We start from the raw sequence: 12,825 nt of genomic DNA, 5'->3' as shown, positions 1-12,825 counted from the left end.
AAGGAAGAATTAATCTTGAAGCTATAGGACCGAGGTCCTCATTTTCTTGCTAGCTTTCATCCAGAGTTGGCTCTCAACTGCAAGTAATGAGTTCCTTGCCACGTGGCCCTGTGATAACTTGGCAGCTTATTTTTTCAAAGCTGACAGAAAAGAGTCTCTGTAACTCCAGTATACCAAGATGGAGTCTCAGCAAAGTGACATCCCATCACCTTTGCCATATTCTATCGTTATTTATTTATTTATTTATTTATTTATTTATTTATTTATTTATTTTGTAGAAACAGAGTCTTGCTATGTTTCCAGGCTGGTGTTAAACTCCTGGGCTCAAAAGATCCTCCCACCTCAGCCTCCCAAAGTGCTGGGATTACAGGTATGAGCCACTGCACCTGGCCTGCCATAGTCTAGAAGGCTAGAAACAAGTCACAGGTTCTGCTGACACTCCAGAAGATAAGATTACATAGGGCATAAACACCAGGTGGTGGGGATTACTGGAGGTCACTTTAGCATCTGTTGGCCACAAGGGCTAGAATAGTAAGGATGTTTGCAAGGGAGTGATTACAATGATGAATAATGAAATCTAAGCTGAGTGTATTAGTTTTGTATTGCCACATAACCAATTACTACAAATTTAACAGCTGTAAAAAAACACATATTGTCTCCCAGTTTCCATGGGTTAGAAATCCAGGCACAGCTTAACTAGATTCTCTGCTCAGGGTCACACAGGCTGCAATCAGGATGTTGTCCAGGACCACAGCGTCATATGAGGTTTAGGTCCTCTTTCAAACTTACATGGTTGTTGGCAGAATTTAATTCTTTGTGGTTGTAGAACTAAGGCCCTCAGACCCTAGGGGCTGCCTACCATGTGGCCATCTCCATAGGTAGTACACAATAGCATAGCAGCTTCTTGCTTCTTCAAGGCCATCAGTTTGAGTTCTTTGCATGCTAGCAAGATGGAGCCATAGCTATATCTAGAGAGAGACAGAGAGAGAGGTAGGGGCAGGGCAAATCAGAGGAGTGAAATCCTATCATCCTGGCCATATTCTATCGGTTAGAAGCAAGTCACAATGACCACCCCCTTCAAGGGAAGGGGGATTATACAGGGCATAATAATGGGGTAGAGATACTATGGGGGTCATCAGATAATTCTGCCTACCATGCTGGGTAAGGAGAGAAGTGAGGACATGAGGGGACTGAGGGGCAGTTAGTTAAAAGGTGGTGGGACCTGCCGGGTGCGGTGGCTCACGCCTGTAATCACAGCACTTTGGGAGGCTGAGGCAGGCAGATCACGAGGTCAAGAGATCGAGACCATCCTGGCCAACATGGCAAAACCCCATCTCTACTAAAAATACAAAAATAAAAAATAGCCAGGTGTGGTGTTGCATGCCTGTAGTCCCAGCTACTCTGGAGGCTGAGGCAAGAGAATCGCTTGAACCCGGGAGGCAGAGGTTGCAGTGAGCTGAGATGGCGCCATTGCACTCCAGCCTGGGAGACAGGGCAAGACTCTGTCTCAAACAAACAAACAAACAAAAGGTGGTGGGACCAAAGAATCAGAGGTTGAGGTGAGGTTGAAGAATTTTTACATGGGAGAACAAATTAGAGAAATGAGCCTCTTCCTCCAGAGATAGACACAGATTTACAAAGAGGCAGCCAGCTTGTTGAGTGGATCATCATAGGTTAGATTTCAGCCCAGACCCTACTCATTCTCTGGACTGGGCGTGCTTGTGCAATGCATAAACTGTACAGCCATACACAGCAGCCAAGGCAGCATATATAGGGGAAATGACCACTATGTGGTCAGCCTCAGCTCTCTCATCTCCCAGCTAGACAACCTAAGGCCAGCTATCCCCCGTCTGAGCTTCAGTTTCTTCACTGGACAAATGGGAGACATTCACACTCATCTTACAGAGTTGTTGTGATGATGATGATGATGATGATGATGATTATTATTATTATTATTATTATTATTATTATTTTGAGATGGAGTCTCGCTTTGTTGCCCAGGTTGGAGTGCAGTGGCATGATCTCGGCTCACTGCAACCTCCGCCTCCTGGGTTCAAGTGATTCTCCTGCCTCAGCCACCTGAGTAGCTGGGACTTACAGGTACCTGCCACCACGCCCGGCTAATTTTTGTATTTTTTTAAGTAGAGAGGGGGTTTCACTATGTTGGCCAGGCTGGTCTCAAACTCCTGACCTCAGGTGATTTGCCTGCCTCAGCCTCCCAAAGTGCTGGGATTATAGGCGTGAGCCACCGCGCCTGGCCTGTTGTGATAATTAAAGGAGCTAATTGACACAAAGCATCTGATGGGGAGCCCTAGAGAGGGCAGTGGGACCTGGCTTCTGCCCTAGAGAGCACTCAAGCCTAATAGCCTATGTGTCACCCTCTTCTCGTCTCTCTCACAACCTACTCCAACATGATTCCTCCACTGGATTTCCACTTCTGTGGTCTGCCATATCCCTTGGCCATTTTTCTATTGGGATGTCGGGGCTTTGAATCTTTTTTTTTTGAGACAGAGTCTCACTCTGTCACCCAGGCAGGAGTGCAGTGGTGCAATCACAGCTCACTGCAGCCTCAACCTCCCTGGGCTCAGGTGATCCTCCCACCTCAGCCTCCTAAGTAACTGGGACTACAGGCACGTGCCGCCATGCTCGGCAGGAGCTTTGACTCTTGAGTGATGCAAAGATAGAAAAAAACGATTGTCGGCAAGGCGTGGTGTCTCAGGCCAGTAATCCTAGCACTTTGGGAGGCCGAGGCGGGTGGATTGCCTGAGCTCAGGAGTTCCAGACCAGCTTTGGCAACATGGTGAAACCCTGTCTCTACTAAAATACAAAAGAAAAAAAATTAGCCTAGCGTGGCGGTGTGCACCTGTAGTCCCAGCTACTCAGGAGGCTGAGGCAGGAGAATTGCTTGAACCCAGGAGGCGGAGGTTGCAGTGAGCTGAGATGGTGCCACTGCACTCCAGCCTGGTGACAGAGTGAGACTCCATCTCAAAAAAAAAAAATTTGTCTATTCATTCATTTCAGGAGTGGTGTCTGGGAAAACTCATTAATAAGTCTCGCTATTATCAAGTTCCCTTGGTAGTTGAATGGCTTCTGTCTGTCCAGCCTTCCTTTTAATCTTGTGAGTTCTCCTCACAGCCTTGAAATAATTCCCTTCTTCCTTAAGGTAGACAGGGCCACTTTCTGTTACTTGCAGACAAAGAATCCTGACCAAACCCCACAGTTACAAATATGGAGATGAGGCTGGGCTGGACTTCTGCTAATCTTGCCAGAATGATTTGGAGGGAAGCCTCCCAGAATAACATGCTGAATTCTAATTAATGAAGTGTTACAGGTTCAAGTTTTGCTCTCTATGAGTGGATGTATTAAATTACTATGTGGGCCGGAAATGGCAAATGGCAGCTCACGCCTGTAATCCCAGCATTTTGGGAGGCCGAGGTGAGTGGATCACTTGAGCTTAGGAGTTTGAGAAAAGGCCTAAGCAACATGGCAAGACCCCATCTCTAAAAAAATAGTTAGATAGATAGATATAGATAGATAGATAGATAGATGGATAGATAGATAGATAGATAGATCTCTCTCTATATATATAAAATTAGCCAGGCCTGGTGGCATGTGCTTATAATCTCAGCTACCTGAGAGGCTGAGGTGGGAGAATCACTTGAGCTTCGGGTGTGGGCGGGTGTCAAGGCTGCAGTGAGCCACGATTGTGACACTGCAGTCCAGCTGGGTGACAGAGCAAGACCCTGTCTCCAAAAAATAAACATAAAAAATAATTTTTTTTGGCCAGGCATGGTGGCTCACGCTTGTAATCCCAGCACTTTGGGAAGCTGAGGCAGGAGGATCACCTGAGGTCAGGAGTTTGAGACCAGCCTGACCAACATGGAGAAACCCCATCTCTACTAAAAATACAAAAAATTAGCCAGGAGTGGTGGTGCATGCCTGCAATCCCAGCTACTCAGGAGGCTGAGGCAGGAGAATCGGTTGAACACAGGAGGCAGAGGTTGTGGTGAGCCGAGATCGTGCCATTGCAATGCAGCCTGGGCAACAAGAGCAAAACTCCGTCTCAAAAATAATAATAATAAGAAGAATAATTTTTTGAGATGCAGTCTTGCTCTGTCACCCAGGCTAGTGTGCAGTGACACAATCTCGACTCACTGCAACCTCCATCTCTCGGGTTCAAGCGATTCTCCTGCCTCAGCCTCCCAAGTAGCTGGGATTACAGGTGGCCACCACCACACCCGGCTAATTTTTGTATTTTTAGTAGAGACGGGGTTTCACCATGTTGGCCAGGCTGGTCTCCAACTCCTGACCTCAAGTGATCCCCCCGCCTCGGCCTCCCAAAGTGCTGGGATTTACAGGTGTGAGCCACCGCACCCGGCCAAAAATAAAAAAAAAAATTACTATGTGATATGGAATAATAAACCCATTATAAACCAAAGTTTGAGTGGACATAATATACTATTTGCTGTCAGAAAATTTTTGGAGCCTTGGAGACAAAGCCATATGGATAACGCGTTGGCCAGCCGGGGAGCACCTATTGTGAGAACAGTGAGGGCAAGCAAAGCGCACCCAGATTTTTGTTTCCTCCACTATGTAATCTGCTTCATACCCAATATGGCCCCAGTTGGAAACTCCTTGAGTGTTCTGTTACCTTGCCTGTGAGAAATAAGAGCTCAACAGTTCTTGAAATTCTCAGCTGCTGGCCTCATCCACAATGATGCCCGTGTCCCCAGGCATTCATTCCATCTCTGAGAACCGGGGGCTTCATGTAGATTAACCCTCACAGAGATGTTAAGTCTGCTTTTGTTTTGTTTGATGAATCCCTAGGGAATGGAAAGAGGGAGGTTCTATGATGGGCAAACAATTACCTTAATCTGAACCTAGTGCCTTTGAGACAGTGAGATCTCTGAGAAGAGCTGAGCATATGCCCAGAAAGACTGGTCACTCAGGGTCATTCATCCCAAGGATTTAGAGGCCTTCCGTTTTAAACCCCTGAACTTCACTTTCTTGGGGAACCTATGAAGGACCTCACTGATCGGTACTGGAAGGTGGGGGTCAGGCAAAGCGTTGCTCAGTAGTAGACCAGCAGTACCAGATAGAAGCGGACTGGTGTTCCATAGCGACACTTTGTGGCAATGAGGCAAAACGGCAGGCATAGCAGTGGAGGCCTTACCCCACCCCCCACCCCCGACCCCTGACCCCACCGCCCCGCGCAGCGCTGAGGCTTAGACATCAAGGCGACCTCCTTTGCAGATTGTGTAAATTCCTGGATAAACCAGAGGAAGAGAAGAGCCAAAGAAAGTGGCACTAAACTTTTTTTTTTTTTGAGATGGAGTCTCACTCTGTCACCCAGGCTGGAGTGCAGTGGCGCGATCTTTGCCTCCCAGTTCACGCCATTCTCCTGCCTCAGCCTCCTGAGCAGCTAGGACTACAGGTGCCCACCACCACGCCCAGCTAATTTTTTTTTTGGTATTTTTAGTAGAGACAGGGTTTCACCGTGTTAGCCAGGATGGTCTCGATCTCCTGACCTCGTGATCCGCCTGCCTCGGCCTCCCAAAGTCCTGGGATTACAGGCGGGAGCCACCACGCCCGGCCAGAAAGTGGTACTAAACTTATTGCTACTCTGGCCTGTGAAGGCTCAAACCAGTTTTCATTTAATTCGGAGAATTACAAAATATGTAACTGGGCCAGGCGCGGTGGCCACCATGCCCTACTAATTTTTGTATTTTTAGTAGAGATGGGGTTTCACCGTGTTGGCCAGGCTGGTCTCGAACCCTTGAGCTCAAGTGATCCACTCGCCTTGGCCTCCCAAAGTGCTGGGATTACAGCTGTGAGCCACTGTGCCTGGCCAGGATTTCTCTTTTGCACAAAGTACATTTTGTGCAACGACTTTGTTCAAAAGCCTAAGTTAGAAGCAAAACAAAACAAAAGCTGAACATTATCTACATCTTTCTCTTACATTCCTTCTCTAACAATCCTTTTTGTAGAAGCAACAGTGTACTATTGTGTTGAATAGTGACCCCTCCAAATGTATGTCTACCCAGAACCTGTGAATTTGATCTCATTTGGAAATATGTATTCAAGTTAAGGTGAGGTCACATTGGATTAGGGTGAGTCATAAATCCAATGATTGGCGTCCTTGTAAGAAGAGTGGATTTTGTTCAGCTTTGTCCTGGATTGAGAAAGAAAAAAAAAAAAAGTAAATTTTGGACAAGATACAAGAAAACAGGCAGGGCATGGTCGTTCTTGCCTGTAATCCCAGCATTTTGGGAGGCCAAGGCGGGTGGATCACTTGAGGTCAGGAGTTTGAGACCAGCCTGGCCAACAGGATGAAACCCCATTTCTACTAAAAAATACAAAATTAGCAGGGTGTGGTGGCGTGCACCTGTAATCCCACTTACTCAGGAGGCTGAGGCAGAAGAATGGCTTGAACCCAGGAGGCAGAGGTTGCAGTGAGCCGAGATTATGCCACTGCACTCCAGCCTGGATGACAGAGCAAGACTCCGTCTCAAAAAGAAAAAAAAAAAAGATAAAAGAAAACAGACACACAGGGAGATGGCCATGTGAAGATGGAGGCAATTATTGGAGTAATGCATGTACAAACCAAGGATTGCTGGAAACCGCCAGAAGCTGGGAAAAAGGCATGGAACAGACTCTCCCTCAGAGCCTCCTGAAGTCACGAACCCTGCCAACACCTTGATTTTGGACTTCTGGTTTTCTGAACTATCGGGGGATAAATTTCTGGGGGTTTTTTGGTGTTTTTTTTTTTTTTTACAGAGTTTTGCTCTTGTTGCCCAGGCTCTGGAGTGCAATGGTGTGGTCTCAGCTCACTGCAACCTCCGCCTCCCAGGTTCAAGAGATTCTCCTGCCTCAGCCTCCTGAGTAGCTGGGATTACAGGCATGTACCACCATGCCCGGCTAATTTTTTTGTGTTTTTAGTAGAGACAGGGTTTCTCCATGTTGGTCAGGCTGGGCTTGAACTCCCGACCTCAGGTGATCCACCCACCTCGGCCTCCAAAGTGCTGGGATTACAGGCGTGAGCCACTGTGCCCGGCCTAAATTTCTATTGTTTTAAGCCACCCAGTTTATGATACCTTTTTTTAATGCCCACTCCTGCCCCAGAATTGTGTACTTCTTTTTATGACAGCCCTAGGAAATGAATACAAACATGGATGCCCTTGTTTCCTGATTGAAGAACCAGGAAAGGTAAGGCAGAAAAGGACAGCACAAAGATTAAGGTTTCAAAATCTCATCCTGAGATTCTTAGCATGGCCTACCACCTTGTTAATCAGGGTAGGTCTGAGGAAGCAGCAACATTACAGTTTAGGAAGGGCTGGCCCGCCAGTCCCAGTGGCTCATGCCTGTAATCCCAGCATTTTGGGAGGCTGAGTTGGGAGGACAGTTTGAGGTCAAGAGTTGGAGACCAGCCTGGGCAACATGGCGAAACCCCGTCTCTACAAAAAAATACAAAAATTAGCCGAGTGTGCTGGCTTGTACCTGCAGTCCCAGCTACTCGGGAGGCTAAGGTGGGAGGATTTCTTGAACCGGGGAGGTGGATGCTGCAGTGAGCCATGATCACACCACTGCACTGCAACCTGGGCAACAGAGTAATACTCTGCCTCAAAAAAGAAAAGAAAAGAGAAAAGAAAGGAAAAGAAAAGAAAAAAGAAAAGACTGGCCCAAAGGAAATTTTAACACGTGCTACAACATGGGTGAACTTTGAGGACATTGTGGTAAATGAAATAAGACAGTAACAAAAAGAGAAAGACTAAGCCAAGCAGGGTGGTTCATGCTTGTAATACCAGTATTTTGGGAAGCCAAGGCGGGAGGATCCCTTGAGGCCAGGAGTTCGAGACGGGCCTGGGCAACACAGAGTCTTCATCTCTTTAAAAAAAAAAAAAAAAAAAGCAAAGACTGCATGATTCCACGTATATGAGGTACGTAGAATAATCAAAATTATAGAGATAGAAAGTAGAATGGTGGTTACCAGGGACTGGGGGGAGGGAAGAATGGGGAGTTGTTTAATGGGCACAAAATTTCAGTTTTATAAGAGGAAGACAGTTCTGGAGATGGTTGCACAACAATGTGAATGCACTTAATGCCATTGAACTGTACACTTAAAAATGGTTAAGGTGGGGAGTATATATTCAGGACAATTTGAATCTATGCTCCCATGAAAAAAAATTTACAGAAAAAAATGGTTAAAATGGTAGCTTTTATATTATGTGTATTTTATCACAATTAAAAAAATTTTTAAAGAAGGGCTGACCTACAAAGCCACTTCTGGCCCTTGCCACCTCTCTAGCCTCATTTGACCTCCTCCCCCTCACTTTGTTCCCCAACAATCAGGGAACAATCTGTTCCCCTGGGCGTATTGTTCACCTCTGGACCTTGATAAGATGTTCTTTCTGCCTCGAATGCTCCTCCCACCCTTTTGCCTAATGTCGAATGTCCCTTTCTCAGGGCAAACCTTTCCTGACACTAAAGACCAGCTTGGGGCCCAACTGTACATCATCATGGTATCCTGTACTTTTTCTTCCTAGCATTTATTGCAGTTAAATACTTGTACAATTGATTATTTAATGTTTATATCTCCAACTAGAATGTCAGTTCCACAAAGACAGGGACTGTGTCTATTTTGTTTACTGCTATATTCTGTTAGAACAGTTAGATACTCAGTAAACATTTGCTGACTGTCTGAATAGATGACCTACTTATTGCTGGTTCAAGCTCCTCACATTCTATAATCCAGAGCCTGTGAGCCTCAGCCTTGTGGATCCAGAAACCTGACTTTGAAGAACACACAGAGCTGATTCAACTCAGAGCTGGGCCACATGAGCAAACTGTACACTTGATTACTCCACAAAGCATATGCCATTTAATTAATTATGGAGTGGCTCCCTGGTTGAGTAGAGGAACAGAGCCAAGAGAGATGAAGAGTCTTTTTTTTTTTTTTAAGACACAGCCTCTGTCACCCAGACAAGAGTGTAGTGGCATGCTCATAGCTCACTGTAGCCTCGAACCCCCAAGCTCAAGCAATCCTCCCGCCTCAGCCTCCCAAAGTGTTGGTATTACAGGCATGAGCCACCGTGCCCAACCAAGATGGACAGTCTTGAGTGATATTTGCTTGATGAAACAAAATGAAACAGTGGTGATTGGAATATTCCTGTTTCTGACCCTGCATATCTATTAAGGTTGTTGGTTTTGAACAGCAGAAATCAACTTTGGCTAGAGAATTATTGGATGACTATTAAGTGCTTGTAGAACCCATGTGTGGCTGGAGGAGCAGCCTTCAGACTGGGCAGGAAATAAAGGGAGCTGCAGGAATAAAGAATGAACAACTTGGACGTGGCATGGTGGCTCATGCCTGTAATCCTAGCACTTTGGGAAGCCGAGGTGGGTGGCTCACTTGAGCCCAGGAGTTCAAGACCAGCTTGGGCAACATAGTGAGACCCCATCTCTACAAAAAATTTTAAAAATCAGCTGGGTGTGGTGGCGCATGCCTGTAATCTTAGCTACTTGGCAGGCTGAGTGGGAGGATCACCCGAGCCCGGGAAATCGAGGCTGCAGTGAGCTGAGATCATGCCACTTCACTCCAGCCTGGGTGACAGAGCAAGACCCTGTGAAAGAGAGAGAGAGAGAGAAGGAAAAAGAAAAAGAAAGAAGAGAAAGAAAGAAAAAGAAAGAGAGACGAAAGAAAGAAAGAGAAAGGAAGAAAAAGAAAGAAAGAGAAAGAAAGAAAAGAAAGAAAGAAAGAAAGAAAGAAAGAAAGAAAGAAAGAAAGAAAGAAAGAAAGAAAGAAAGAAAGAAAGAAAGGGAGAGAGTGGTGAACAACTTAACACTCTTCCCTCCATCCTTGTATTCTTTGCTCACGATTCAAAGATAGCATCTGGTTGGCTAACCTTAGGTTGTATGCCTGCTCCGCTCAACACATCAGGAAGAGAAGAGGTAAGATCTTGCCTCTTGCCTAGTCAGGGTTTTCCTCTTTTTTTTGAGACAGGTTCTGACTCTGTCTCCCCAGGCTGGAGTCCAGTGGCACAATCTCGGCTCACTGCAGTCTCAATCTCCCAGGCTCAAGGAATCCTCCTGCCTCAGCCTCCTGAGTAGCTGGGACTACAGGCACATGCCACTACGCTCAGCTAATTTTTGCATTTTTTGTAAAGATGAGGTTTCACCATGTTGCCCAGGCTGGTCTTGAACTCCTGAGTTCAAGTGATCTGCCTGCCTCAGCCTCCCAAAGTGCTGGGATTACAGGCGCGAGCCACTGTGCCTGGCCCTGTGTATTTCTTTTTAACATCAAGGACACCTTTCCCAGAACACCATCCCACAGAGGAACCTATTTCTGTCTCATGAGTCAGGACAGTGTCACATTCCCCCACAGGAATGGGACCCCTATAATTTGCTTAAACCAATAGTTCTCAAACTTCTTGGCTTTAGGGCATCTTTATACTCTTAAAAATTACTGAGGACCTAAAAGAGCTTTTGTTTGTGTGAGTGATAGCTGCCAGTTTTTATCTTGTAATAAATTAAGAATGAGAAATTTAGGCCAAGCACAGCAGCTCATGCCTGTAATCCCAGCACTTTTAGAGGCTGAGGCAGGAAGATCATGTGGGACCAGGAGTTTGAGACCAGCCTAGGCAACATAGTGAGACCCCATCTCTACAAAAAAAAATTGTTAAAAAATAGCCAGGCATGGTGGTGTGTGTCTGTAGTCCCAGCTACTTGGGAGGCTGAGGTAGGAGGATTGCTTGGGCCCTGGGAGGTCAAGGCTGCATTGAGCTGTCATTGCACCACTTCATTCCAGCCTGGGTGACAGAGCAAGACCCTAGCTCAAACAAATAAAAATTCAGGGAGTACATGTGCAGATTCATTACCTGGGTATATTTAGTGATGCTGAGATTTGGGGTATGATTGATCCTGTCACCCAGGTACTGAGCATAGCACTCAATAGTTAGTTTTTCAACCCTTGCCCCCTCCCTCCCCATTCTGGTAGTCCCCAGTGTCTATTGTTGCTATCTTTATGTCCATGAATACCCATTATTTAGCTCCCACTTATAAGTGAGAATGTGTGGTATTTGATTTTCTGTTCCTGTATTAATTAGCTTAGGACAATGTCCTCCAGCTGCATTCATGTTGCTGCAAAGGATATGATTTCATTCTTTTTTATGGCTGTGTAGTATTCCATGGTGTATATGTAACATATTTTTTTAATCCAATCCACTGTTGATGGGCACATAGGTTGATTCCATGTCTTTGCTATTGTGAATAGAAGCACACATTCTATTAATGTCAGAGTGATGACATCATATGTCATGTAACCTCTGAAAAACTCCATATACTTGTGAAAGAACGAGAGTGGAAATTCAAGACAAACAACATCATGAAAAGAGTTTTGAATTCGCAGTCTGAAAAAGTCTTGTAGATCCCCAAGGATTCCCAGATCATACTTGGAGAGCTACTGGCTTAAATCAATTAGGACTCAGTTCTGAATCCCACAGGGAAAGAGTGGACACTGGAACCAAAGCAGGATGCTGACAGCTTAGAAGAAGGGAGTAACTTACAAGGCCTGCTACAGTGGGGTCAGAAAGAATTCTACAAAGGCAACCACGGTACAATTAGGAAAAGGGAGAAGTGAGTCTGGGCAAACAACAATGAACAAGCAATGTTATCAAATCCCTCTCGCCTGGACAGGCCTATCCACACTCTACTGATTCAGTGTCTCTCCTTTTCAAGGCTGGGCACAGTTGGGAGCAGAGGCTCATGCCTGTAATCCCAGCACTTTGAGAAGCCAAAGTGGGAGAGTGACTTGAGCCTAGGTGTTCCAGACCAGCCTGGGCAACATAGCGAGACACCATCTCTACCAAAAATAAAAAATAATTTTAAAAATCAAGGCTGGCCACACTTGTTTGTGGAACTATTCTTCCTTCAGATGTGTTTATAGTTCTGATGAATCTGTGCAGGCATTTGTCCCCCTCACATTACATATTGATTTCATTAGACCAGTGTTTCCTAACTAACAGCCAGTGAAGAACCACCTTAGAATGTTTTCCAAGACCAAGTGCCACCTTGGCTATTATTTACTTAATCTTCATCTTTAAATCAACTTTATCTATTTCAAAAAGAACATTTTATTCACCACCTACCCCGCTGATTGAAAGCCTCTTTAAGCTTCTCCAAGGAGTCGCAGGAAAAATGATCCACCAGACTATTGATTCTTCATTAGAATCACATTTATGTGTGGGTTAAGTTGGCTTTAAAAGCTTTTCTGTTTTCATTGTCTTATCAGATGCTGTGGTCCACGGCAAACCAAGTGTTTAAAAGATGCGGTTTCTTAGAAGAGTTTTCATTCCTAGAAAGGCAAACTAAGCTCTTAGACCATCATTAGTTGCATCTAGGGCAGGACAAAAGAGGAAGTTTTAAATTCCTTTGTTTCACTTTTCCCCTCCAAAATGAATGGCCAAAAAGAAAGCTGCAAGTGTAACGCCCCTTTTTCCTGCTACCCCTCCCCCTTGGCCCCTCCAGAGGGTCGGCCTTTTTCCGGCCCCAGTGGTGGGAGGCCCCAGCGTCTCAGAACAGCTGCGGGACTTCCAGACTCTGAGAGGTTGCTCATCCGTAAACGTGGGGTGCGGGAGGAAAGGTAGAGTGGGAATGAGGAGGACATGGAACCATAGGGCACTGGAGGCAGGGCAGGGGGTCAGGGGGACAAGAGAGGACAGGAGCAGGCAGACCCAAAGACCAACCCATCAAAGGGAGGGAGAAGAGAGACAGCAAAGCAGTAATCTGCATCACAGAGAGAGAGAAAGGGGACAGCACAGAGGGTGGCGA

The 12,825-nt window shown here is 45.8% G+C and overlaps 1 annotated feature.

Moving 5' to 3' along the window:
- Positions 12,247-12,447: a silencer, noted in NCBI's record as "peak7383 fragment used in MPRA reporter construct". NCBI's record gives its function as "represses an SCP1 promoter by STARR-seq MPRAs in K562 erythroleukemia cells {active_cell/tissue: K562}" and the evidence as "EXISTENCE:reporter gene assay evidence [ECO:0000049][PMID:32103011]".

Source organism: Homo sapiens, chromosome X (genome assembly GCF_000001405.40).
Source record: "Homo sapiens chromosome X, GRCh38.p14 Primary Assembly".
NCBI classification, from domain to species: Eukaryota; Metazoa; Chordata; class Mammalia; order Primates; family Hominidae; genus Homo; species Homo sapiens.
This window is presented reverse-complemented; position numbering and strand designations above follow the sequence as displayed.